At 51.5% G+C, this 27580-nt stretch overlaps 1 protein-coding gene and 1 long non-coding RNA gene across 2 annotated transcripts in view, besides 5 other annotated features; one reads left to right on the top strand and one right to left on the bottom strand.

Moving 5' to 3' along the window:
• The window catches only part of GRK5 (G protein-coupled receptor kinase 5), a 252175-nt gene that overhangs the window by 109079 nt on the left and 115516 nt on the right, over positions 1 to 27580 (top strand). Inside the window, exon 2 of the mRNA NM_005308.3 lies at positions 9867 to 9962. Coding sequence (NP_005299.1) covers positions 9867 to 9962 — 96 coding nt within the window. The remainder of the gene's footprint in view (positions 1 to 9866; positions 9963 to 27580) is intronic.
• Positions 54 to 687: an enhancer, noted in NCBI's record as "H3K27ac-H3K4me1 hESC enhancer chr10:121076215-121076848 (GRCh37/hg19 assembly coordinates)". NCBI's record gives its function as "activates a minimal SCP1, AML or CMV promoter by ChIP-STARR-seq in primed H9 embryonic stem cells {active_cell/tissue: H9 hESC(primed)}" and the evidence as "EXISTENCE:reporter gene assay evidence [ECO:0000049][PMID:30033119]".
• Positions 688 to 1321: an enhancer, noted in NCBI's record as "NANOG-H3K27ac-H3K4me1 hESC enhancer chr10:121076849-121077482 (GRCh37/hg19 assembly coordinates)". NCBI's record gives its function as "activates a minimal SCP1, AML or CMV promoter by ChIP-STARR-seq in primed H9 embryonic stem cells {active_cell/tissue: H9 hESC(primed)}" and the evidence as "EXISTENCE:reporter gene assay evidence [ECO:0000049][PMID:30033119]".
• Positions 1322 to 1955: an enhancer, noted in NCBI's record as "H3K27ac-H3K4me1 hESC enhancer chr10:121077483-121078116 (GRCh37/hg19 assembly coordinates)". NCBI's record gives its function as "activates a minimal SCP1, AML or CMV promoter by ChIP-STARR-seq in primed H9 embryonic stem cells {active_cell/tissue: H9 hESC(primed)}" and the evidence as "EXISTENCE:reporter gene assay evidence [ECO:0000049][PMID:30033119]".
• Positions 17981 to 22671, bottom strand: GRK5-AS1 (GRK5 antisense RNA 1). The gene is made up of 2 exons (XR_946357.4): positions 19272 to 22671; positions 17981 to 18343 (listed from the first exon to the last, which is right to left on the bottom strand). It is a non-coding gene; the product is annotated as a GRK5 antisense RNA 1 (long non-coding RNA).
• Positions 24051 to 24644: an enhancer, noted in NCBI's record as "H3K4me1 hESC enhancer chr10:121100212-121100805 (GRCh37/hg19 assembly coordinates)". NCBI's record gives its function as "activates a minimal SCP1, AML or CMV promoter by ChIP-STARR-seq in primed H9 embryonic stem cells {active_cell/tissue: H9 hESC(primed)}" and the evidence as "EXISTENCE:reporter gene assay evidence [ECO:0000049][PMID:30033119]".
• Positions 24645 to 25237: an enhancer, noted in NCBI's record as "H3K4me1 hESC enhancer chr10:121100806-121101398 (GRCh37/hg19 assembly coordinates)". NCBI's record gives its function as "activates a minimal SCP1, AML or CMV promoter by ChIP-STARR-seq in primed H9 embryonic stem cells {active_cell/tissue: H9 hESC(primed)}" and the evidence as "EXISTENCE:reporter gene assay evidence [ECO:0000049][PMID:30033119]".

The raw sequence follows: 27580 nt of genomic DNA on the forward strand, positions 1-27580 counted from the left end.
CAAACCCTTGACAGGGAGAGGTGCCCAGGGCAAGGCCTGAGAGTCCCAGATGTGAAGCTGCCATGGATGTGCCACCTCCTGGCACATTGGTGTGTGATTACCAGGAAGCTCACCCAGGCCTCAGTGTCTGGAGTTTTTACTGGAGCATCATGATTTTGGCATGATTGATGGAATCACTGGGCACATGGTCGAACCCAGTGTCTGGCCCCCCGTCCCTCCCTGGAAGTCAGGGTGATACCACGTGGCCCAAAGCCTCAACCTTCTAATCCCATGGCTGGTCTCTCTGACATGCCCAGCCCCCCTCATGAGTCATCTTGTTAGCGTAAACTCAGATATGGCTTCAGGGGCCTACCATGAATGAAAAAGACACTCCTATTACTCAGAAAATTCCAAGGACTTAGAGACTACCTCTCAGGAACCAGGGACAAAAGCCAGTCAGATTCTTTATTATACAGTGACAAGTTGGGGCCTATGCAAAGACGTGAGAGTGTCCTGATCTGTGGAGATGCCAGGAGTCTGCCCCAGAGGAGTGTGGCCCATGGGAAAACAGGCCCCCACTTATTCAGGGTCCAGAAAGCACGGCAGGTCCACTGCGGATCCTGCCTTCCCATCCCCAGGGATGACTCTCTTTTCTCTGGGATCTGTAAACAATAAAGGTCCAAGGGTCACCAGAAGGCAAAGAGGCATTCAGTAGATGGGTGTGTGTGTGTGTGTGTGTGTGTGTGTGTGTGTGTGCCCAAAATAGGTGTGAGGCTTGAGGTGACTTCTGCCCAACTTCACAGGGAGATGATCAGGGCCTGGGGGAGAGTTGGGGGGAAGCGGCCCCTGAGGCTGTCTCATTGGCCCGGACCCCTCAAGGCCGCAGCTGAGCAGTGCTCTCCCTGCAGTCTCCCTTAGGCTTTCCGGTATAGGAGGGGCCTCATACGGTTTGCCCTGCCCCTGTGAGTGGCCCTATTAATGGCTTTAAGCCTGCCAGGCATCCTGCTGTGAGAAGAATGCCTGACTCAAGTCAGGCAGGACGCAGCGACCTTGTCAGAGTCAGAGCCCAGGATCACCAGATTCTGGAGCTGGGAGGAATATTTTTCAGTCAACTTTTCCAAGCGTGTGTGTGTCTCTTCAGGTCCTTTTTAGAAGACGTAGACAGGGCAGAAATAACAAGTCAGAGAGGAAGAAATTCCTAGAAAGAGTGGTCCCGTCATTCCTTTTCTCACTGATTTCCAGGCACTTTCTCTTGACTTACAGCAGTGGTTCTCAAAGTGAGAGTGCATCAGAATCACCTGCAGAGCTCATTAAGTTACTGATGCTGGCCCATCCCCAGAGTGTCTGATTCTGTAGGTCCAGGGTGGGGCCCAGGAAGCTGCATTTCTAACTGGCTCCCAGCGATGCTGATGCTGCTGGTCCAAGGACCACCGAGAACCACTGACTTAAGGGCAAGAAGGAAGCTCCTTCCAACAAATGCATGGAACCTTCCTCAGTTTCCCCCGTGGAACCTTTCTCTGATCGATTGCACATTTGTCACCAGGGAGGAAAAGAACATTAGACTAAGAGTCAGAACAGCAGAGCCCTGGTTCAGGTTATGATACACACTCCCTGATTGAGGCAAGGTTCTTTCCTTTCTGGGACTCTATTTCTGAATCTGTCAAACGGGTTCAATACTAGGACCTACGTCACGGGGGTGATGTGAGGATTGAACTAGATGACATGTTACTGGTGCAAATTCCCTGACTCTGAGGGTACAGCAAAGGCCATATAAGCAGTCCAGGGTCAGTTGTTTTGCACAGGTCTATCCCATCCCTCCCAAGGATGGTATGTGAACCTGTTGGGCTTAAAGGAACCCAGTAAGTTAGACCTTAGACCGTCCACATCACCAGTATTGCGGGCTTTGTCAGTGTCCTTTGGAGGAGGGGGCTGGGCTGGCAGTTCCACTCCACTGTGCCAGGTGATCACAGGGCTCTGGGGGCTGTAGGCCGCTCACTGCTCAGAATCCATCATCGCTGCACCCCAGCCGCATCCCACTGGGCTGACACTGCCACAGGGACAATGCCTTCCTGGAGCTCAGGTCGTCCCACTGCCCTCCCCACAAGCACTGCACCTCCCCCATCCTCAGCTTCTCCCTTCTGTTCTCCACACCGGTTCATTTCAGCCCCTGCCTTGAAAACACAAACACCACTCTCAGAAACAGCAAAGGCAACAAGAATAACAGCAAGCCAGTTTCTTCCCCCACCAAGACAGCCTCTTCTCCCATGGCAGTTTTTTGGGTGGAATGATACCGTTATTCTTCCCTGGGTTAGCCACAGGAGCAAAAGAAACGCTTTAGTCTCTCAGTAGCTCACTGTGACAAGTGCTTGGCCCGTGCTTAAGAATCAGTGGCTTTTTATTATTACTTGGCTTCTGCCTTCCATCAGGCACTCCTTTCCCTGATAGGACATGCCCTCCTCCTGCGGGGCCCCCACCCTCCTTTGTTGGCCACTCTCCTTCCTCCTGCCCTGCCTTCCCCTTAACATACTTCCCCAGTCTGGCAGGAGGGCACCTGCTGGAGGACATCGCTGGCAGCTGGCAGCCGAGGGGGCCCCCAGGGCTGGAGAAAGCAGGAGTGAGAGTGGGATTGGACAAGCAATGCCCTCCCTAGAGTCTGTCCCTTCTAAAGGGCCAGTGGCAGCCCGAGCCATGAATCAGGGGACACGCCATCTTGCTGTTGTCCGCCTTTCTCCAGGTTTTGTCTTGGACTCCTTCCGATCCGAGGCCACCTTGGTCCTCTGGTGCCTTCCCCAGAGCGGGAGCCCCCCTGATCGGCCCTGGGCCTCGGTCACTGCCATTTTCCCTTGCCTGGCGGGGCAACCCTTCTCCATGCAACCTCTCCTACCTGCCTGGCTACAACCCCAGCTGTCTTGCTCATCTTTGCTCTTTGATGCATGGAATGAGCTGGATGAGGTCAGGGACCATGTCCTCTTCCCTGACTCATTACGGGTACCTGGAAGGTAAACCCTGAACAGCAGAGGATCCTTTGGGAAAGCAAATAAAGCCGGAGGCTCCTCGGGACAGGAAATAGCGGTGAGCCAGTGCCAGCAGAAGATTGTGCTCCCGCCTGGGTGTGTGGCTTATTCCCTGGCTCCATTAATTCCTCTCCCTGAGCCTCAGCTTTCTCATCTGTGAATAGGGTCAGTACCTCCTGAATGAGGGCCAAATGTACAGTGCCCAGGTCAGTGCTCAGCCCAGAAGGCTGGCAGGGAGGGAGGTTGTCATTTATTCCTGCAAGCATTCATGCCTTTACCCAGTCAGCCAAGTAACTTAATGGAAGCTTGCAATTAAACAAGAATTAGCTGCACCCGCCTCCTTCCCGGGAGCAGGTCTGACCTGAGCTGGGAGAGGATGTGATCCAGACAGGGGGCTCTGCCTTTTCAGGGCAGCATGAGAAGGGACACTAGAGCTGGAGCTTGAAGAACAAGCATTCCTGGCAGAGAAAGCCATGCCTGTAGGGTCGGAGTGGGGGAACAATGATGTATACAGGGATTGGAGGGGCTGCCAGGTGGCCAGGTGGCTGGATGTAAAGCATGACACTTGCATTCACTCAGCAGATACTGTTTGGGCTTCTACAGTGGACCAAGAAGAAGGTGACAGAGAACAAAGAAACCCAGGTCCCTGACACCACGGGTCCGCTATCAGCACAGGGGAGACTGATGACGGGCAAGGAAACAAATAAGTGGGAAGATTTCAGGTGGTGATGAGAGCTGTGGGCTGGGTCTGGGAGTCCAGCAGTCACTTGGCACGTAGAGGTTGAATGAGTCCATGAAAATGTGCTGCATGCGTTGAGAGAATGGATCTGTAAGCTGATGTGCAGTTCAACACAGAGACAGACAGACTGACCGACCAGTGCTTCCTACACACTTCCATGGCACGTGGAGAATGGGCCTGCTTCACAACCGAGCTCAGAGGAGACCTCCAGGAAGGTAGAATTCAGGCTAAGACTGGAAGTGTGGGTGAGAAACATTCGGAAAGGTAGGAAGAAGGTGCTCCTGGCAGAATGAACAGTGAGTGTAAAGGCCCTGAGAGCAGAGGCAGGGAGGGAAATAAAGCTTAGGAAGACAGTCACCGAGGCCCTGAATGGGACCAAGGAGAACGGGCTGAGCCTATGGGTGGTCAGGCCTGGGAACTGGCCATTCCTGCTGCTGGGACCTGAGCACGGGGGAGGTGGGAGGTGATGGCCCCAGCCCCTTGTAGGCCTAACACCCCTCCCCAGCAGTGAGGTGGGCCTAGGGCAGCGGGGGCCGTAGGGCCAGGTCACAGGAGGAATTTTTACAGTGGCATGGCTGGGCCCTGCCCCCTCTCAGGATACAGAGAAACAATCAAGTCCTATGAAATAATAAACAGTGCCAATACTTCAGTTATCAAATATGCAGCTTCACAACCCCGCAGCAGCTTGAGAGCCAAACATTTGTCTAGACGTGGTGCCTTCTCTGAGGCAGGTTTTGTTTGTTGTTAAGAAGTGAAACCTTCTCCCAGCCCATCTGAGTCAGGAAGGTTGGGTTTATTTCATGGCACTTTTAGAGGAACTGGAAGCCAGATATGGGGTGAGAGGCCATTCTGGGGTCTGCTGTCATTTAGGGGGATCCCCTGCTGAGAACATCCTCGTATTAGCTTCCTGTTGCTGCTGTAACAGATTGCCACAAGCTAAGTGGATTAAAACACCACACATTTAGTATCTTACCGTTCTGGAGATCGGAAGTCTGACGCACTCTCAGTGAGTTAAAGTCAAGGCATCAGCAGGGCTGTGTTCCCTCTGGGGGCTCCGGGGAGAATCCTTCCTGGCCTGCATGCCTTGGCTCGTGGCCCCTTCCCATCTTCCAAGCCAGCCAATGGCTGGTGAGTCTTCGTCACATTGCATCACTCTGACACTGGTTGCTCTTTCTCCCTCTTCCACATTTTAGGACCCTGTTGGTGACAGTGGGCCCACCTGGATAATCCAGGATTATGTCCCTATCATTATCCATAATCTCATCCACAAACTTAATGCTCATTTGTCATGGAACCTAACGTATTCACAGGTTCTAGGGATTAGGGCATCCCTGAGGGCGTTATCCTGCCCACCACAGTCCCCCTGCCCTATTCTGGAAGCTGAGGAAATAGGGTTGAGGAGGAAAGTGAGCCCAGGCCGTAGCTGGAGAGTCTGCACCCTCGGCTTGGGGCTGCCTCCAAGTGGCTTACCTTTCCCACCGCCTCCAACCCCACCACAGCTGCCCCATCACTAACAGATCTCCCCCAACCCCTGTTCTTTTCCTAAATGTTGGTAAAATGGTCATTAAGTAAAGCAGCATTTTTTCCACATCCCTACCCTTGACTTACTTTTTCTTTTGAGATGGGGTCTTGCTCTGCACCCAGGCTAGAGTGCAGTGGCATGATCATAGCTCACTGCAGCCTTGAACTTCTGGGCCCAAGCAATCCTCCTGTGCGCCACCACGCCCAGCTACTTATTTTATTTTTATTTTTAATAGAGACGGAGTCTTGCTATGTTGCCTAAGCTGGTCTAAACTCCTGGGCTCAAGCAATCCCCCCATCTTGGCCTCCCAAAGTGCTGGGATTACAGGCATGAGCCACCACATCTTGTCCCAACCCTTGACATTTTAGAGCCAACCATGCTTTGTTCCAGGGGTCTGTCCTGTGCACAGCGCAATATTTAACCACATCCTTGGCCTGCACCCACTAGCTGCCAGTAGCACCTCTCCACCCAGTGGTGACAATTAAAAATGTCTCCAGACATTGCCAAATGTTCCCTGGGAGGCCGTCGCTGGGGTTGGGAACCACTGAGGTAACGCGTTGGATGTGTCTGTCTTCCCTGCTAGCGACACTGTGTCCGGCACCTGCAGAGGGCCTGCCGCTTAGTATGTGCTCAACACATATTGGTTGAACGAATCAGTGAACCTATGTTAACTTTCTTAATGAATAAATCTATAAGTGTGCATGTATAAAATAGACTCCTGGGTTCCATAGACTGGCTGCCTGAGAGTCACCTGGGGATCCTTTTAAGAAGTCACATTCCTGGGGTCCAATCACAGAGGATTGGGGTACAGCCTAGCAATCTGTATTGTCAAGAGTGCTTCATCAGTTCCCCCAAAACTTAAACATATATACCATATAATCCAGCAATTTCCCTCCTGAGTATATACCCAAAAGAATGGAAAGCAGGGACTTGAACAGATACTTGTTTGCAAATATCCATAGCAGCGTTATACGTAATAGCTAAAAGGTAGAAACAGCCCATGTGTCTATCCACAAATGAATGATAAACAAAAAGTTGTATACCCATACAACAGAATATTATTCAGCCTTCAAAACAAATGAAGTTCTGACACATGCTCCAACATGGGCGAAGCTCGAGGACATTACGCTAAGTGAAAGAACAGACACAAAAGAACATGTATGATTCCCTTATACGAGGTATCTAGAGTAGTCACAATCACAGACATGGAGTGTAGGAGAGAGGTTGCCGGGAGCTAGGAGGAAGGAGGGAATGGGAGTTAATGTTTAATGGGTTCAGAGTTTCAGTTTGGGATGATGAAAGAGTCCTGGAGATGGAAGGTGGTGATGGTTCCACAGCAATGGGAACGTCCTTAATGCAGCTGACTCGTTCACCTAAATAATGGTTAAACTGGTACATTTTATGTTATGCATATTTTGCCATATGCAAAAAATGGTGCTTCATGCCTGCCAGGTCTGAGAATCAGTAGTGTGCGAGAGGAATGGGGAGCAGGGGATGGACCCGTCGAGTTCTAACGACCCTCCCAGGCCTTGCAGCTGCTGGGATGGGGACATCAGACTCTGCTGAGCTAGGGTTTAGGCTGATTTCTTGAGAGGGTGGCCCTATCTGGGCGTGCACAGAAGAACCTCTAGGCTGCCTGAATGAGGGCTGCGGCTAGATGAGGATTGGCTTGTCTGGAGGCCACATGTGCTGTCCCCCGGGCAGCTGCTGCCCAGCTCCGGCTGATTCTTGCCATGTGGGGTGCCTGGCTGTGGGAGAGACGTCCAAGGTCTGGATTTCGATGTGAAATCTCCTCATTTTTATTTATTTCAATAGTTTTGGGGGAACAGGTGGTGTTTGGTTGCATGGAATGTTCTTTAGTGGTGATTTCTGAGATTTTGGTGCACACGTCATCTGAGCGAGGTACACTGTAGCTAGTGTGTAGTCTTTTATCCCTCACCTCCCTCCTCCCCTTCCCCCAAGTCCCCTGAGTCCATTATATCATTCTTGTGCCTTTGTGTCCTCATCTGAGCTCCTGGGAATCTCCTAATTTTTCAATGTTGGCAACTGGTTCAGTGAACAAGCAAGCAGACAAACAAGCCACCTAAGGGTCACACTGGTGACCCTGCGGGCCTCCGGTCTGGCTTGCAGCTTTTCTGGGAGCTCACAGGCTGGGTCCCCAGCTAGATCCTTGCTCCTGCTCCCGTCATGGCTGCCGCGTCACTCCTGAAGTCTGACACCAGCTTTCTCTTTGATCCTCTGAGAATTTCTCTTGTATTCAGGGCACCCAAAATGGTGGTTTACAGAGAGAATAGCAAGAGCCAGGGCCCAGGGTCTGGATTCTGCTCAGGCTGGGGTCTTGGCTCTGCCAATTATGAGCCACGGGGCCACAGGTGACTTGCTACCTTTCCCCCATGCCTTGATTTCCTCATCTGTCAACTGGGTATATCATAGTTCCTGCCGGCCAGGTGCAGTGGCTCATGCCTGTAATCCCAGCACTTTGGGAGGCCAAGGCAGGCGGATCACTTGAGGTCAGGAGTTTGAGACCGGCCTGGCCAACATGGTGAAACCCTGTCTCTACTGAAAATATGAAAAATTAGCCGGGTGCGGTGGTGCACATCTGTATTCCCAGCTACTCGGGAGGCTGAGGCAGGAGGATCGCTTGAACCCGGGAGAGGCAGAGGTTGCAGTGAACCGAGATCGTGCCATTGCACTCCATCCTGGGTGACAGAGTGAGACTCTGTCTCAAAAAAAGAAAAAAAAAAGTTCCTGCCTTGTAGAGTAAGGGTGAAGCCTGCAGGTGAGGGGCTTGGCCCCGGGCAGGGCCAGTGCATGGCTGAGCAGTATGCGCGTGTATGTTTATATGTACATGAAATGTGTGTGCACTTGTGTGTGTGGCCCCCGTTGGCAGAAAGAGTGAGCGTGGCATGGGTGATTTCTTCCTCAAAGAGTCATTCTGAGGATTAAACAAGATAATGTACAGGTGGAGCCTCACCACGGCAGGTGCCGCCTCACCACGGCAGGTGCCCAATACGCATTCCTTCTGTCCCTCGGAGTGTGAGGCCTTGGCCGTCTGTGGAGATTTGAGAGGAGGACACTGGGCTAGTTGGAGAGGAGGGAGTTGGGTTGAAGATGCAATGAGAGGAGAGGAGAGAGACTCCTCCCCATCAGCACTCTCTCCTGCTTCCTGGAGCAGGAGCAGAGTTCTGGTCCCATTCTCAGAGGCAGGTGCACTGGCTAATCAGGGCTATGACCTTGCTTTCCAGGATAGCTTGGATGACAGTTAAGAATCCCCAGTTCTGTGCCTACTTTTAAACACATGCTACCTTGTTTTCCCTCCTTTCAGCTTTGGGAGGAAGGCCTTACTGTCTCCACTTCATGGATGAGGACTCAGAGAGGGCGGGTGCTTGTCCAGGCTTGCCTAGGCAGCAGGGGATGGCCACAGGGCCAGAGCAAGGTGGAGGACAGGTTGGGCTGGCTGGGAGAGGGCTGGAGCTGAGTGCCACTGGGCTCCCCTGGGTTGCTGGTGTGCAGAAGGGGCCTTGTCCTGCCCAGCTGGTTCCTGGGAGGGTGACAGAGTGGAGGGGCTGCATACCCACCCGGAGCAAGCAGACGAGCTACATAAAATCCTGATAACCAAGGGGCACAAAGGGCTCCATGACCTGTGGTGAGTCATGGACAGATGGTGGCTAAGCGCCACTGTAAGGGTGGAGAGTGGGTGACGGCACCTTGGTCCCCAGGAGCCCTCTGGCCACATGGCACAGCAGTGCCTTCAGGTCCAAGGCCCAGATGCTGGTGGGCTCAGGGACACTGAGGCCCAGAGCTTCACCCCATCGCTGTTTGCGCCTGTGCACCCTGACACCTGTCCATCATCCCTTGGACCAGGAGTGCAAGGATGACGGGAACACCTGTGTGCGCCTCATGTGGTTCTGCACGTTACACGTGACTGTTCATTACATGTGTTCATTACTAGTGCACATTCATTGTGCGTGTGCATGTTCATCATGTCCACGTGCTCAGTACTCGTGTGCACTGGGGAGGATGTGAGGCAGGGCGGGCCCCTCAGGAGTCCCTCCTTCCTTCCAGCCTCGGAGACTCTGGGGTTTGTGAGGAGCAAGAAGAAGGCGGTACTTGACAAGTGGAAACTGAAGTTCTTGTCCCCCAACATCTAGCCTCCAGCTGGGGAAGGAGACTCTCCACAGAAAGCAAGAGGACAAAACGAGGGCCATGAGGGGCCATGGGCACCTGCCTGTGCCTCTGCCCCACAGGGATGCCCCAAGCTAAAGGGGATGTTCAGACGTGGCAGGCCTGGCCCCTGCTGTGGGAAGGCTGTGGTCTAGTCTAGGGGAACAGCCGTGGGGGATGCCTGGTGTGGGTGGGGTGCAGGGGAGCCCTAGGCCTCACTGCTAGGGGGCCGGGGTCAGGCAGGACTGTGCGGGATACTGGGGCTCACAGCCCACCTGGGAGGAAGAGTGTGTGTGTTTGTGTGTGTCTTGGGCTGGGGGTGTGTCACTGGCTTGGCCTACAGCCCGTCCCTCTGTCTCTCAGCCCAGGAGGCTGGTGGGCAGGCTCACTGCGGGGACGCCGCAGGCTCTGGAGCCTCAGCCAGGCATCTTTTTCCCCATCTCTGCAGGGGGCGGAGGAAAGCGCAAAGGGAAAAGCAAGAAGTGGAAAGAAATCCTGAAGTTCCCTCACATTAGCCAGTGTGAAGACCTCCGAAGGACCATAGGTAAGCTGTCCTGCCTGGGGGCTGTGCGGGGAGTGAGTAGCAGGTGATCCGCCAAGCCGTTTGTGCATTAAGGCAAATGGGTGAGCCGCCAAGCTGTCTGTGCAGTGAGGCAAATGCCAATCAGTGGACACAGTATTGTGCTTCCAGGTAGGGGCTCCAGGCTGACCTTTTTGCTAATCAACATAAACAGGCAACCAGTATTCATTGAATATATGGCATGTGCCGGGCAGAGTGACCTCCTCCCAGTTATCCTTTGAGGCAGGTGCTATTATTTAATATTTCACTTCACCTTTCAGATGGGGAAACTGAGGCACAGAGTGGTTCTGTAACGGCCCAAAGTCACACAGCTGATGGGAGGGTGGTGGAGGTGGGCCAGGCCCAACACAGAGCCACCGCTCATAACTTCTCCCCTTTCTTCCTGGAGCCTGTGGGTCCTGCCCTCAGGGGGCAGCCCAGGCTTTGGGAGCTGAGAGTCAGGTGGGGTGGGGGATGTGGGGTGAGGTGGGGGAGGTAGGGCTCCCCTTTCCACTTGCTGGGGATGTCAGTGCTCCTGAGGAGCCACTGGGCTCAGTGGCACAGCTTAGCCCCCTGTATCCAGCACACACACACCAGGCACCTCCAAGAGCAGCCAACCAAGTGGGTCTGTGCCTGGTCCCACGCAGGACACGGCTGTGGTGAGGAGGCCTGGGTGCCTGGGCGAGAGCGCCCAGGGGACAGGCATGATGTGAGGCCCCACTCCAGAGTGTTTGGGGTCCCGGCCCTTCTCCCCTCTGTGCCCTGGGGTGGGTCCTTCCCCATCACTGCCTGAGGGCTCCCCATCCGCTTATTATTGTCAGAGGTCATGGACGTGCTGAACACGTTTAAGAAGACTCAAGTCCACTGAAGGCTGGGCACGGGGTGGTGCTGCCCAGAACTCCATAGGCCCAGCTTTTCTGGGGACTTCTGCCCAGGGCCTCGGGTGAGCTGCCCCGTGCCTGCCCTGGAATTCAAGGCCACATGTAGCCATTTATTCAGCTTTTCTAAATGGCCTCTTCACGGTCTGTCCCCACCAGTTTCCAGGGCCGGGGGGACTTACCTGCCACCCCCAGGCTTGCTCCGTCCTGGCCCTGGGCCACTCAGTCCACACTCCATGTTTATAGGTGATAGGAGGCCATCTGTGCCCCGCCCCACGACGGCAGACATGAGCAGGTGAAGCAAGGTGGGATCCTGAAGGGTCAGGAAACGTCCTTAAGACCCACCTTCCATCCCTAAAATCCCAGGCACATCAGAATCCCCATGGTGTTCTCGGGCCGAGAATGCTGCTGGCCTGAGGGATTGGGGGCTCTGGGTCCAGGCAGACATGGGTTCAGATCCTGCCCTCTCTGCTGGCCACATGACAAGTTACTTTATCCTGCTGAGCCTGTTTCCCCAGCTGTAACACTGTCTGTGAACCCAGTCATAGGGTGGTGGAGTGGGTGAGATGAGACCATGTGTGTAAAGGGCTTAGCTGGTGCCCTCGTCGGGAGACCAGGGGCCCATGCCCCTCTGCACACTGGCGTGCTTTCCGGAGTTCCCACAGACACCACGGTGCCGTGGATGCCGTGTGCACCCTTGATGATCAGCTTTTCTGCTGGAGGCAGTCGAGGTCGGGTGGAAGAGAAGAGGGGCTGTGTTCCTGGGGCTGTAGCTTACTGGGGAGGATTTGACCACTGAGACTTTGCAGGGGGCCTTCAGAGAGGGGAGCCAGGGAGAACCCCTCTGGTGACTAGCCATTTCCTCATGGGGGACCATTTTGTTCTTCATGCTAATTTTGGCTCAGAGAGAATAGGGCCTGTTGTGGGACTGGGGAGGAGACCTTAGTTGCCATGGTTGCAACTCACCCATGTGTGCCCAGCAAGTACCCCCTTTCTGGTGAGCCAAGCCTTCTCTGTCATTTTCATCCTGGGTCTGCTGGCTGCCAGAAAGCCATTCCTGGATGCTGAGCCCAGCTTCTCCCAAAAGAGGGATGTTACCTCACAACCCATTCACTGTGGCCCCAGGGAACGTCTTGCACTCATCCACAGGGCCACAGGGCTGCTCGGAGAGACCTTTCTGGGGTGTTGAGTTGGAGGTGAGAGCTTACAACAGGAGGAAAGCATCTCCAAGGGGAGCAATGTGAGAAGCGGGCACCTGCGCACAGCCACGCTCACCTGGCAGGGCGGTGCTTCCCGGCCCTGGCTAAACTGTCTGCAGGTGGTGATGCCAGGAGTGCTATGGGGCACAGCCAGATGTGAAGGCCACTTCCTCAGAGAAGCCTCTTTTGACTCCTGAATTTAAATGAGCTCCAGACCAGAGTCTCTCAGAGCACCTGTCCTCTTCTGCCAGAGCACCCTTCCTCAGGGCTCTTTGGGGAGGAACTGGATTGTTAAAATTCACCACTGCGTAGTTGGTGCCTGCCTCACAGGAGGGGCACAATAGATGTTAGTTGGATGAACGAGGGAAGGAAAGAATAAATGAGGTGTAAGTGACCACTCAACTTATGAAGTGTTTCTAATAAATAGAAGAAGAGCATTGAGAGCCAGATACTGAGCATTCATGTATCTGCCATCCAGATGAGAGAAATCTTAACATTTTGCTATATTTTATTCATGTGTTTCTCAAAAATATAAAAGATGAAAATATGAAATATAGGATTTATGGTTCCAGACAAGAGGGAGTAGATGCGGTGTTTCCTGTCCTTCCCGCTAAGGACAGTCAAAAACCCTGGACATTATGTATAAAACAAACATAAGATTTTGAAAGCCGGGAGAGAAGAAGGCAGACTGGCTGGGGACCTCGAGCCATGAGGGACGACACAGCAGTGAGCTTCCTGGGTTTCTTTTTTATATCCCAGAGTGGATACTAGACAAACTTGCAACCCACAATGCCAGTGGGTGCAGACTAAAAAGCTCCTTCCCTCAAGACCAGCCTGACCAACATGGAGAAGCCCCATCTCTACTAGAAATACAAAATTAGCTGGGCGTGGTGGCGCATGCCTGTAATCCCAGCTACTCGGGAGGCTGAGGCAGGAGAATCACTTGAACCTGGGAGGCAGAGGTTGCAGTGAGCCAAGATTGCGCCATTGCACTGCAGCTTGGGGAACTAGAGTGAAACTCTGTCTCAAAAAACAAAAACAAAAACAAAAAAAACCTCCTTCCCCCTGCAGAAAAGCTTTTGCTGGCATAGCTGGTTACTGTAGAACTGTCCCGTTTCTGCTATGGTTCACACGCCAGCAACGCAGACACCTACTTTTTTTTTTTTTTTTTTTTTTTGAGATGGAGTCTTGCTCTGTTGCTCAGGCTGGAGTGCAGTGGCGTGATCTTGGCTCACTGTAACCTCTGCCTCCTGGGTTCAAGCAATTCTTGTGCCTCAGACTCCCAAGTAGCTGGGATTACAGGTACCTGCCATCACGCCCAGCTAATTTTTGTATTTTTAGTAGAGACAGGGTTTTGCCATGTTGGCCAGGCTGGTTTCAAACTCCTGGCCTCAAGTGATCAGCCCATCTTGGTCTCTCAAAGTGTTGGGATTACAGGTGTGAGCCACTGCGCCGCCTTTTTCTCCTTCATGTAACCTATGTCTTAGCATGGGCTGCTTTAACAAATACCCACAGACTAGGTGGCTTAAACAACAGACATTTATCTCTCATTGTTCTGGAGGTGGGGAAGTCCAAGATGAAAATGCCAGCAGATCTGATGTCCTCATCAGTTTTTCCTGGTTTACAGTTGGCTGTCTTCTTGTATCCTTGCATGGTGGGGCGGGGGAGGGAGGGAGGGAGAGAGAGAGAGAGAGAGAGAGAGAGAGAGCTCTTGTCTCTTTTTATAAGAGCACTAATCCTATTCATGATGGTTCCACCCTCATGACCAAATCACCTCCCAAAGGCGTTACCTCCAAATAACGTCACGCTGGGGGTTAGGTTTCAACATGTGTGTTGCAGGGAGGATGCGGACATTCAGTCCATAGTCTAGGACTAGGTTCAGTGCCAACCTATTCCTAGATTCAAAGAGCCAGTGCACCCTGGCTTTCCACCTCTCCCCTGAGACACAGCTTCTCATACTTTGAGATTAACTAGCCCTGCCAAGGCCTGGTGTCCCTCCCAGCCCCCTCCTCCCAAATTAAGACTCTTAGATCTAGGATGGGTGTGATGGCTCATGCCTGTAATCCCAGCACTTTGGGAGGCTGAAGCAGGCAGATTACCTGAAGTCAGGAGTTAGAGACCAGCCTGGCCAACACGGGGAAACCCTACCTCTACTAAAAACACAAAAATTAGCCAGGCATGGTGGTGGGTGCCTGTAATCCCAGCTACTCAGGAGGCTGAGGCAGGAAAATCGCTTCAACTTGGGAGGCGGAGGTTGATTTCCTCACTCTAGGCCTCCTCCCCATAAGCTTCCAGGCATTGCCCTGGGAGCACCTGAGTGTCCCTCAGCTTCCAGTCTGCCTGGCCCCACCTCATTCACTTCCACTGTGGGGGACCTGGGAGCACAGGATTTGGCTCTGAGCTTTTTTCTGTCCATGGACCACCCCCCCGCCGCGACCATGGGCCCCAGCCCTGTCTGTCCTTCTAGGTCCATAAACTGGCCTCTTGGCAGGGCCCACTCCCCTGGGATGGTGTGAGGAACGTGCGTGCTGGCGTGTGGAAATGGATTCTTCTGTTCTGCCGGAGGGTATTGAAAAGGCTCTGTGTGTGAGTGCCGTGGGAGAGAGGCCCGGGAAGGGCAGGAAGGCTGACGTGAGCCGTGGGGCTGCAGCTCGTGGCCACGGGGCCAGGGTCTGGGCCTTCCCACTGTTTACAGTCCGTCGCTGAGGTGTTTGCCCAGTCTCTGCTGGGGTCCTGCTGGAAGGCTTTTTAAAATAAAATTCTCATTTCTTTCCTAGACCAATACACAAACCAAACAGTGGCCAATACCGCATTTATTTTTCTTGTGGACACATGAGCTCACTTTCTGAAGTTCTTTGGGAGGATGTCCTGGGACAGGCTTTGTGCCAAGGGGACAGGGCCCCTTTAGGGTGTGAGGTGGTGCCATGAGAAGGCTCTTGATCAGAGCTGAGGGCAGAACCCATGAGGACCCCAGGATGCCGCCATGTCTGGATGGCCCCGAACGGTGGTCTGTTAAAGCCCTGGCCTTCTGCCTTCAGCCCTGCCCTGGACAGTCATAGACCATCTCTACCTAGCAGCCAGGGTGATTTTTGAAAAATGAAAACTGGACCCTGTGAAATCATTCTCCTGCTGAAACCAACCCAACAGCTCTCCATTCCACTCAGTAAAACCCAGACTCCTTACTGTGGCTTGTAAGCACTTTGCCCTAAGGTGAAGCCTGTAGACCCCTTATCAGAAGAATGCTTTTATAGATAAAATAGAATACATAGGGTTACAGAGGAAACTGATCCTTTTTAAATATACTTACTACATACTTCTAAAATTTATGATACAGAAATATATGTGCTTCTTTGTTAATACTTTATAAGGTCTAACTGTGGGTCTAATAGCTATTGTAATTTTGATTTTTTTTTTTTTTTTTGCCTCAGAGTTTGACTCTGTCGCTCAGGCTAGAGTGCAGTGGCGTGATCTTGGTTCAGTGCAACCTCTGCTTCCTGGGCTCAAGCTATCCTCCCACCTCAGCCTCCTGAGTAGCTGGGACTACAAACGTGCACTACCATGCCCAGCTAATTTTTGTATTTTTTGTAGAGACGGGATTTTGCCATGTTGCCCAGGCTGGTCTCAAACTCCTGAGCTCAAGTGATCCTCCCTCCTCAGCCTCCTGAAATGCTGGGATTACAGGCGTGAGCCACTGCACCCGGCCAGCTATTGTAATTTTGAACTTGTCATGAACCTGAGTGAGCTTTTCAGATATCTGCAACAACTGATAGGAATGGATCTTTGATTTCTGCCGGTGACAAGTCCCCGGCACTGCTGACATCATTGTAGGTTGTTGTCTACATTCATAATTGAAGGAAGTGCAAATTTTCAGTTAGAGGTTGGTGAAAAGAAAGATGACATTTTTCTCCACCCCAGTCCATGGACTCTCTAAATCCTATCCATGGTCCTTTTGGCAGTGCCCTGCCTGTGCTGCCCTATGTGAGCTGGCCCTCACCTTCATCTTGGATCCTTCCCTCCTCCTCCATTCACAAGCTGGTCTCCCTTTTGTCCTTTGAATAACACACGCTTGTCTCCAGCCCAGAGCCTTTGCACCTGTTCTCTCTACCCGGAATGTTCTTCCTCACACTTTTTCTTCCAGGGGACTTTAAGGTCTCAGTCCAAATATCATCTCCATAGAGAAGCCTTCTAAAAAGGAACCATACCCTCCTTCTAATTGCATCCTTTCCCATAGTGCTGTTTATTTAATGTTCTTACCCATAACTCCGTCTGAAGCCATCTTTTCGTTTACTTGTGTATTTTCTGTCTCCCACACTGTACTAGATGTTCTATGTTAATTGCAACTGTGTCTTGCCTGTTTCACTATGAGAACAGTGTCTGGCACATAATAGGGGTTCATTAATACTGGGTGAATGAAGGAATGAATGAGGTGAAATATTTGAAATTAGAGCTCTTCTAAAAAAATTGGTGACATGTGTTTGCTGTACCCATTTAACCTTAGCCAGTAGTTTACACTTAAAGTAATTAAAGTCTGGCCTTAGGAGGCACTGTAGGTAGCATCTGCTGTAACCCACCCCTCCCCCTGCCCACCATCCTCACCATCTGGATGAGGCAGCTCAGCATGGTACATGACTCAGCCACAGTCTCACAGCCACTAAGTGGGGAGGGGAAGCTGGTGGCTCCTGGGGCAGGTTGGTTTCCTCTGAAGCTGTAGTCGGAGTCATGATCACAGTGATGTCAGGTTTTCACAGAATCCTTAGCTCAGGGGACTGGAGAGCATCTTGTCCACCACCCATTGGTGGTGGAGTAAACAGGCTTCAAGGGGAGAGTGACCCGCCCAGGAGAGCCAGGTCCCTGGTCTGGAGTGACACCTTGCAACTCCCCATGAGCATATTGCTGCATAAACGTGTGGGCAGGGCCCCAGCCAGTACTCAAGGCAGGGAGACTACTTAGGTGCTCAAAGGGGTGGACGTTTCTGTCTCTCTTGTATCTTGTAAGTGTGTGCAGCGAGTTCCTCTGCTTATTCAATGCATGTTTAGTGAGCACTGAAAACATGCTGTCCACGGGGGAGCTGAGCGGATCGCTGATCTCCTGGAGCTCATCCACCAAGGAGCATGGGAGACCAACTGAAATTAAGATGAGATGACAAATCAAGAAAGTTCCACAGGGTATGGAGCAGGTTGCTGAGCTGCAGAACCAAGGCAAAGATCTATCCCCACTTCCCTGGAGGAAGTGGCGTCCCTCCTGGCTTAAAGGATCTCTCTGCGAGCTCCCTGAGGGCCTGGACCACAGGCTCTCCATCTGGGCGTCTCCATTGCTGTAGCAGCATGAGTGGGTGGATGGATGTTGCCTTCTCTTCAACCTGGAAGCCAGGACTGTGAGTGGCAGCCATGAGCACTGAGACAGATTCCTAGGCCAGGTGCAGCGGTGCAGGCCTGAGCATTGAGACAGATTCCTAGGCCAGCTGCAGCGGCGCAAGCCTGGAACCCCAGTGCTTTGAGGGGCGGAGGCAGGAGGATTGCTCAAACCCAGGAGTCCGAGGATACAGTGAGCTATGAATGTGCTGCTGCACCGCTCCAGCCTAGGTGACAGAGCGAGACCCTCTAAAAAAAAGAAAAAGAGAGAGAGAGATTCCTTGCCACCCATCTCTCTGCTTCCAGTGTGAGCCCCACGTATGAACTAACGGATTTTCAACAGAACTGGCACAGGGCAGACAGACCATGAGAGGAAGAAGGGGTTCTCTAACGTCTGCTCAGTGAAACATCAAATAGTGACTTTATTAGTTAATGGGATAATTGTTCATGGGAGATCATTAGAGAGCCCAAATCAAAGAATTTCTTAGGATGTCCGAAACTTGGAAGGCTGGAATGTCATCACGAAGATAAAAGATTGTTGAGGTCTGCAAATATTTCTCAGTGACGCAGAAAGGTCTGTTGGGCAAAAGTGTGGCATTTTTATTTATTTAGCTCAGGCTCATTGCGTACTTTATTCTTTCATTAAAAAAAGTCTGAGGGGGCTTGAGTGAAAGAGTTGATTATTCCACTGTTTGGCAATATTTCTGTAGGAACTGTCCAAAAGCTATATAATAAATCAAGGCCCCCTCCCCACCCCCCAACAGGACTGACATTTATGAGGAGGCTGTTCACAGAAAGTAGCTGCTGCGTCTGGCGTGCCACAGCAGTGCCCCGAACCCTCACAGACAGACAGGGGAGATCGAATTGCCTTGTGGGAGAGCCTCTTGCCAAAGCCTTAACTGTTTCCAGGAGCAGAAGTCCCAGGCTGTGGGGGATTCCTAGAGGAAAATGTAGAATCTTTTAACATGGGGGAAAAAAAATCATCTTCATAGTGTGAAGATTTCCTTGAAGTAGTCTAGTACTTGGTTATTCACCCAACATTGCCTGCCTGCCTGCTTTGCCCTGCCTGCCTTGCCTCTCTCTCTCTCTCTCTCTCTCTCTCTCTCTCTCTCTCTCTCTCTCCCCCTCTCCCTCTCCCCCCACCTCCTCTTTCTTTCTTTCCTCCTTTCCTTCTTTATCTTTCTCTGATATTTATTTTTTGAGACAGAATCCCACTATGTTGCCTAGGCAGGGCTCAAGTAATGTTCCTATATCAACCTTCTGAGTAGCTGAGACTGCAGGTGTGAGCCACTCTGCCCAACTGCCATGTTCCCTTTTTTGTTTTTTTGAGATGGAGTCTCACTCTGTCCCCCAGGCTGGAGTGCAGTGGTGTAATCTTGGCTCATTGCAACCTCTGCCTCCCAGATTCAAGCAATTCTTCTGCCTCAGTCTCCCAAGTAGCTGGGACTACAGGTACCTGCCACCACGCCTAGCTAATTTTGTGTTTTTAGTAGAGACAGGGTTTCACCATGTTGGCCAGGCTGGTCTCGAACTCCTGACCTCATGTGATCCACCTGCCTTGGCCTCCCCAAGTGCTGGGATTACAGGCGTGAGCCACTGCGCCCAGCCTGCGCATGTTCTTTAAACCAGACACTGGCTAACAGATACTTGTTAAGCTCCTCCTCTGTGCTAGGCATTGCTGCAGTCACCGGACTTGTGTCACAGGCCACCCTTGTCCAGCAGCGAGGGCTCCTGGAAGGATCTCTGTCACTGTCATCAAGATGAAGTGGTGGTGCTGCTGCTGCCAGCCCTGTGACTTTGAGCAAGTAGCTTACTTTCTCTAGTTTGCAGTTTATTTGTGTATAAACTGGAGACACTAACACCAACCTGGTAGAGCCTCTGGGAAGGCCAGCAGAGTGTTGCACACAGGCCATCATTGTCATCAGCATCGTCATTGTCATCGTCATCCTCACGGCGATAGTGGTTTGAGGGCAGAGGTTGAGGACCCTTTGAGAGGGTTTTGGAGTTTCCCAGAGAAGCTGAATCGGCTACACATGATGGATGAGGCCAGCTGTTTTTGTGCTGAGGTGAAGTGGGTTCAGTGTCCCAGAGACTGTTGCCTTGGAGTCATCGGAATCCTCCTCTTCCTAGAGCACTGCCTCCAGCTTCCTCTTCTTGGAAGCCTGCCCTGATTCCTGCAGTCCTCAGCCTTCCTTCCTCCCCACGGCTCCACAGTTTGCCCAGGGAAGCTGGAAGCATCACACTCTGCCCAGGCCCCTGCTCTGGCCCAGTGTGTTTCCTTGAAAGGACGTGTGTCATCTAGAAGCCTGCAGCCCCGAGTCCTAACAATGGTTACCCCCAGGGAAGGCGTGAAGGTCAGAGGGGACACTGGCTTTATCTGTAAGATTGTTTTTTTTTTAAAAAAAGAATGAATTGGCATGTTCTTTGTCTAATTAAAAATCAAATGAATAAAGACCAAATACCCTGCCTGATTCCACAGTGGGGCAGAGGGAATGGTGACACTGTTTCCCCCTTTCCTTGTTAGCTTTGTGCCCCCTGATGAGTCTGGGGCCCCTGAGAGGATGATCAGAATCTCACACGTCTTGGTGACCCAGTCCCCTTCAGGCCTGCCTGGCTGGCACGTGAGCTCTTGATTTCATCGTCAGGGAAACCAAGTCTCTGCAGACGTCATTGCTGTCCTTGGGGTGATAAGGGCGCGTCATGTCTGTCGTTCTGCCACCTAGCCGTGCTGTGATAAGGCACAGCATCTGCTTGTCCTTGGAGGGCGAAATAAATTTAGATGTGTCGGGTTTGGAACATCAGGTGACCTGTCCGCAGCTGGAGCTCTCAGGAGGGAAGGGTGGCCCCGCTGTCTTTGCGGTGTTAGTCTCACCTCCCCACTACGGCCGGAAGCTCCTTGAAAGAGAAGGCACGAGCTCAGGCACATGCAAGATGCCCAGCGATACTGTCCGTGGGTTTCTTGTTTGGACAGTCTTAGAATGGAGTGGTGGCAGGGATTTTACAGATCACCTGGAGTTGTGGTTTTCAAAGACTGCTCTGCAGGGAGAGTGTGTGATCTAGACCAGGCTTTTACCCAATTGGGCTTTATTTTACCTTTTATATTTGGGCTTCCGTGTCAGATTTCATTCTAGGGCTAAATTTGAGTTTGAAACGCACTGTTCTAGGCCAGGTCTCCCATTTCCAGATAAGTGAACTGAGTCCCAGAGAAACAAGGTCTTGCCAGGGTCTTCCCATGATTTGACTCCAAGGCAGGCTCTCTCCCCTACTGCGTTAGTTTTTCCTGAGGTTGCCATAGTGAAATACCAGAGACCAGGTGGCTTAAGCAGCAGCAGTTTATTGTCTCACAGTTCTGGAGGCTGGAAGTCCAAGATCAGGGTGTCAGCAGGTTTGGTTCGTTCTGAAGGCTGGGAGGGAGAAGCTGTTTCAGGCCTCTCCCGTGGCTTCTGTGGGTTTGCTGTCATTATTTGGTGTTCTGTGGCTGTAGACTCATCAGCCCTATCCCTGTCTTCACCTTCACTCGGTCTTCTACCTGTGTGAATGTCTGTCTCTAAGTTTCCCCCCCACTTTTTTCTCTTTTTTTTTGAGACAGAGTTTTGCTCTTGTTGCCCAGGCTGGAGTGCAATGGCACGATCTCAGCTCACTGCAACCTCCACCTCCCGGGTTCAAGCAATTCTCCTGCCTCAGCCTCTCGAGTAGCTGGGATTACAGGCACCCGCCACTGTGCCCGGCTAATTTTTTTTATATTTTTAGTAGAGACGGGGTTTCACCAGGTTGCCAGGCTGGTTTTGAACTCCTGATCTCAGGAGATCCTCCTGCCTTGGCCTCCCATAGTATTGGGAGTACAGGCGTGAGCCACCACACCTGGCCAAGTTTCCCCTTTTTCATGAGGACACCACTCATATTGGATTAGGGCCCACCCTAATGACCTCATTTTAACTTGATTATCTCTGTAGCAACGCTCTTTCCAAATAAGGTCACGTTCTGAGGTAATGGGGATTAGGACTTCAGTGTATCTTCTTTAGGGGATCCAGTTGAACCCATAACATATTCACGTGCTCATGTGGTCTGGTGGAGTTAAAGGTAGAGGGGTCAGGGATCCTGATTCCCACCGGGTCTGAGGGTGGACACTCCTTCTCTCCTGAGCCTGGTGGGGAGTTAACCACTGCAGTCCCAGGCTGCTCACTTCCCCAGTGGACCACAGGAATGTCTGTGGGAGGAGCAATTGTTTTCCAGGCCATGTTGCAGCTTTTTCAATCTCCCTGTTTGTTATTGGTTAAGTCATAGTAATTGGTAAATTATTTTGCTAAAAAACACAGAAAATTATAAGGAAAGAAAGTCACCGCTAATTTTACATCTCAGACAGAGCCATAGTTAACGCCTTCATGTAATTTCTTCTAGCTTTTTTCCCCATACATATACATGTGGTTTTGTTTCTTACCTCTTTTCTTAACATAGTATCAAAAATGTTTTCCCTTGTCATTAAAATCTTCATAAATGTGATGTACATTTTTCCATTTGATGCATATTTAGTGAGTGTCAGGCATGGTGGATACATCAGTGAGCAAAGTGCAAAACTTCCCATCTCATGGGCTGCCCTCCTGCAGGTGAAATGACATACTGGGCCATTGGGAGCTCACCTAGTACCCTCAACCCAGCATCCACCCAGGCCCCCGGTCTCTCCCAACCTATGGCTTACTTCCTGTTGGTGAATTCTTCCTTTAAGCGATCTTGAAAATAAGCCCTTGCTTATTTTCAAATGAATAAATGTGAACCCAGAATAAATGTGATTTGTAAAGTTCTCATAACTATCACATGTATATATTCTACTATTTGGGTTTTTTCCACCTAGTTTTTGCCATTACAATTAATGTTCAAATGAACATCTTTGTACTTCATTGTGACATTTTGATCTATGGCTCAAAGTAAGAAAGTCCACTGTCTTTTTGAAGGCCAGAACACAGCAGCCTGTACAGTGCTGTTTGCTTCCTCTGGAATGTTCTTTTCATTTCCAGCTTTGCACTTGCATCCACAGACACCATTAACCTGAAATGTGATGGGGATGGACAAAGTGGATGATGTTTGGCGAGCGGCCTCTGCCTGGCTTGCCTGCCTCGGTTCACTGCAGTCAGCAGGTGTGAGAAGGATTTTTCTGTCTATTTTAAGGCCCCTCACTGAAAATGGGAAAAACAAGCTCGTTTGTGCGGGGGACCTCAAGCCAACACAAGAGCCCAGCCACCCTGCAGCAGCCTGAGCGTGACAGCGTTCTGCCCCATAAAGAGATGCTAGGAAAACACTTTTAATGGTCTCTGCCTAGACTCTGTTTACGGAATTTATTTGCCAGAGCTCAGGCCATTCAGCAGTACCTTGGCAGCAGGGCCCAGCAAAGCTGCAACTCCTGTCTCCCCTCCACGTCTGCCTGGGTGTATTAAACCCCCTTGTTCTGAACACCCCAGAGCTAGTACCCGAAAGGCAGGAGTGGGGGGTTGCAGGGAAGAAAAGCCATGGGTTGTAGGATATTTGGGGCCAATATAAACTTCCAAATTCAAAAACAAAAACTAGCTAGGCTCGGTGGCTCACTCCTATAATCCCAGCACTTTGGGAGGCAGAGGCATGTGGATCGCTTGAGCTCAGAGTTCAAGATCAGCCTGGGCAACATGGCGAAACCTAGTCTCTACTAAAAATACAAAAAATTAGTCAGGCTTGGCAGTGTGAGCCTGTAGTTCCAGCTACTTGGGAGGTTGAGGCAGGAGAAATTGCATGAGCCAGGGAGGCAGAGGTTGCAGTGAGCTGTGATCACACCATTGCACTCCAACCTGGGCGATGGGAGTGAAACTCTGTCTCTATTAAACAAAAACAAAACCAACAACCAAAGAACAACACAAAATTACCCTCCAAAGAGCTAGGGGCATGAGCTACTGTTGGCTGCTAGCTGTGGCCGTTTCCAGCCAGCAGTAGAAAGGAAGATGTAAAATCCTGAAGCATTTTGAGTACTGCTTTGTTTTTTTTCTTTCCTGTTTGACGATTGATGCTGAACCATCTTTAAAGTGTGGTTTTTTTGTTTGTTTGTTTGTTTTGTTTTGTTTTGTTTTTTGAGACAGAGTCTCACTCCGTCACCCATTCTGGAGTGCAGTGATGCAGTCTCACTCACTGCAACCCCCGCCTCCTGGGTTCAAATGATTCTCATGCCTCAGCCTCCCAAGTAGCTGGGATTACAGGTGTGCGCCACCACGCCCAGCTAAATTTTGTATTTTTAATAGAGACAGGGCTTTGCCATATTGGCCAGGCTGGTCTTGAACTCTTGGCCTCAAGTAATCTGCCCACCTCAGCCTCCCAAAGTGGCTGGGATTACAGGTGTCAGCCACCATGCCCAGCCCCAAAACTTACTTTTAATTCCTTTTCTCATTACAAAAATAATATATGTCAATGGTTGCAATTTCCAAAACAATTTTAAAAGGGGAAAATAAAAACTGCCAATGAGATAAGGATAAACACTGTTAACACTTTGGTCTGTTGCCCTTTTGTAGTTTGTTCTGCTTCTAGGGAGAGAATTGTACCAGCCTCGACTATCATCTTCCTTGCCCAGACATCAGATATCATTTAAAATGGAAACCTGTGGGTTGTAGAATCCCCCTTGGACTGGGAGGCAGAAGACCCAGTTTCTTGTGTTACCACTTGGTCCTGTGGCCTTGGGAAAGCCACTTAACCTTGATTTGCTCGTCTTTAAAATGGGGACTCAGTATTCCTCACCTTAGCAGATGGAGTGGCCAAAGGTGTTTCTGGCAGAGAGTGCTTTGCAAAGTGCTGTGCAAATTGCTGGCCAGTTTTGATGTGGGTGTGTGAGCCTTTGGTTGGACAAATGGCCAGAGTAGTTTTCCTGTCTTCTTGGGGGAACTGTGACCCTTTCTCGTAAAGCTGTTCTGTCTCTGATCCTGGTGAACATCACCAGCTTCCTCTAGCTGCCCAGAGCTGCCCCTCCCCTCTGCCCTGCCGTGTGGCACCTGGCCCAGTGCAGTGTCCAGTCCCTCTCCAGGTCCCGATGCCTCGGCCTCCACAGTATCTCCTAGTCTGCCCCTCTCGCCCCATCTCCACCATTTCCACTTGATCCTTGTCCCTGCCTGAACTCCTGTGTCAGCTCCTTGCTCCCTCCAGGCGCACCTACTTCCAACCAAGCTCCATGCAGCAGCCAGGAGGCTCTTTCTGAAATGTCAGTCTGCTCTCGCCACCACCTGCTTCAGTAGCTTTCCACTGCTGTCAGGACAGAGTCCAGAGGTCTTGCTGAAGCTGACCAGGCCCGGCCTCTCCGCCCTTGCTGACTGCTTCAGCTTCACCCCTGCCGCTCATCTCCTGACTTAGCCATTCCTTCATGTTTCTTCTTTTCTCCAGGCCTTTGCCTGGGCTGTTCCCTCTGCTGGATACACTTCCCTAACCCTGCTTGGTAATCAACTCAACCTTAGTCCCCTGCTTCATAGGTCACCTCCTCCAGGAAGCCCTCCCTGGTGACCTCACCTAGTCAGGGTTTGCTCCCCACCCTCATGCTGCCACTGGCCCCACTGTGGTTGTCTGATGACTCACCTTTGTCTTCTGTTTGGCTGTGGGCTCTGTGAGAGTAGAGCCTGGGTCTGCCTGACTGTGTTTTGCCAGCACCCAGCATGAGTGTCTACCCTGTACCAGGCACTTGTAGAATCTTGTTTAGATATTTTGTTCTCCCCTGGAGATGGAAAAACACTCAATCTTCCCAAGTGTTAGACTGATTGCTGATGGGTCTTATTTTTCTCTCTGAGTTCTTTTAAGAGTCCTGGAAATGTGGACTGAGAACAGCTGTCGCATGTCAGTTCCGAAGTAGCCGCTTTTATCAGAAACGGTTTAGAGAGAGATTCCTAGTTGCACCTCCCGCCAAGGGCAGTGACCCCACTTTTCTCTCCCCTTGCAGGCCCCTATCCGACCTCAATGGGAGGCGTGGGAGAGTTATGGGGAGTACATCCCACCGGCACAGCTGTCATGTCAGCCCTGTCTGGCTGCCGGAGTTCGACTGGTCAGGCGAGATGGGCACAGGCACGGCTCTGCTAAAGGCCTTGGCTGAGCCCAGCTTGGGGCAGAGCAAGCCACTGAGAATGGCTTTGCCAGAAGACTCCGTCATCAGGCTTGGGTGTCCACAGCCTTGGAGTGCTGAACAGCTGGAACATCCTGAGGCATGTGGCGGGTCAGTTGGGACAAAGCCATTGAGCTGCTAAACCAAACCGGTGCTGCTGGATTGGGACGGAGACAGCAGTGAGGAACATGAGCTCCAGTGTCAGAGGGACCTGGTTTTCATCCAGGCTCTATTCCTTACTGGTTGTGACTTTGAGCAAGTGATTAGATTTCCCTGAACCTCAGTTTCCTTATCTGCAAAATGGGAACTGGAGTGTTGCAAGGATTGAGTGAAGATCTGCATGGGGAGGGCTGCGTAGGGTCTGGCCTGCAGCAAGTGCTCATGCAGCATCTGCTTTCCCGTCTTCCTCTTCATCCTCACAGCCGTTCATCATCGTGGTTGTCATCAACCGTCCCGTGCGGTGCAGAGCTTTGCTTCTTGGTTCTGCCTGCTTGGTGGTTGCCAGGTCCCGCCAGCTTAAGTTTATCTGTTCGTTCATTCATTCATTTATCTGTTAAGCCCCTCTTCCTTCTTCCAGGCCAGGGAGCCAGGGTGCTGCCAGGTGGTGGGGAGCGGCTTTCAGAAGTGGCTCTTGGCAGCGCAGGCTGGGCTACATTTATGGCCTTTATGTAACCCCTTTGCCCTGAGCCCCATTCCTGCCCCTCAGATCTTTATTTACTGACTCTCGGCAGACTTAGAGGTCCTGAAAGGCACCCCCCAACGCCCTCATCTCATTCATCCTTCTGCCTCCAGGCAGGAGGGTCCTCAGCCATGGCAGACATGTGGGGTGATAGCCAATCCCAGCCATGAGCCCCTATTCAGCTTTCACCCTGGGCAAGATCCTGTGGAGGGTCCCAGTGTGGGGCTGGGGGAGGGATGTGGGATCAGCTGAGATCCTTAGGAAGCTGTCTCTAGTTGGGAAGACAGCAGAAAGCCAACACGTGACACTGGGTGACAGCCCTGTGCAAGTGTGCAAGGCGGGTGGCTGCCAAGGTCCATCTTCAGTACTAAGAGCCCAAGGGCGGGGTGGGGAAGGGGGACAGAGACATCTGTGTGGCAGGGAAGGTGCCAAGTGAACAGATGAGAGAGAGAGAGAGAGAGAGAACACTTTTGGGTCAGCAGGTTCAGCGTTATCCAACCAGCAAACATTTCCTGGATGCTTACTGTGGGCCAGGCACCAGGCTATGTGCTTTGCAGACACACACTCGTCCAATCACTACAAAGCCCTGTGGGGCAGGTGCTGCCTTCCCCACCCCTATTTTAGGGATGACGATGCAGAGACTCAGAGAGGTTGGTAAGTTGCTCACAGGCACAGATCTCTGAAGGAAGTGGAGCCTGGATTCACACCTGGGCCTGAGTCGAGGCCATGCTGGCTGTGGATTTCCTCCATATTGGCCATGGCTTCCCCGTGGACGTGGAACAATATGGGCATGTTTGGGAGAGGAGGTGTATTCTGCTTTGGTGGGCTCTATGCAGAGGTCATGAGGCAGAAGGTCAGGGGAGGCTGGGTTGGGCCCGGGACACCAGCCATGCCTCCTGTCTGAAAGGTGAGGTCCTTGCCCCGCAGATAGTAGGGATCCATTGAATGTTCATCTCTGATAGCCGCTGTCTGCAGTCATCCTCAGGGAGAGAGCAGAGAGCAAAGGGAAGCCATGGACAGAGCAGGCGGGCTTCCAGGCTATATGAGATGCAGTTCCTCCTTCTCCAAATTCTTATTAACCCACTGTGTACGGCGTTTCTCAAGTATCCAGCCCAGGACTTGGGATGTACCATAAACAGCCTCCACTTCTGATGACGGTAGCGCTAAGGCTCAGGTAATGCCACAGGAGGCAGGAGCGGCTGGAGCTTCTCTCTCCTGCAGTGTCAGGCCAGAGCAGGTTTTTCTTTTTTCTTTTTCTTTTTTTTTTGGCGGGGGGTAACAGATCCTTTTTTATTTTTTATTTTTTTGGCCTATGCAGCAGTTATTTTATTTTATTTTTTTTCAGTATTTTTATTTTATATTTATTTTTGATTATACTTTAAGTTCTAGGGTACATGTGCACAACGT

This window comes from Homo sapiens, chromosome 10 (assembly GCF_000001405.40).
Source record: "Homo sapiens chromosome 10, GRCh38.p14 Primary Assembly".
In the NCBI taxonomy this organism is placed as follows: Eukaryota; Metazoa; Chordata; class Mammalia; order Primates; family Hominidae; genus Homo; species Homo sapiens.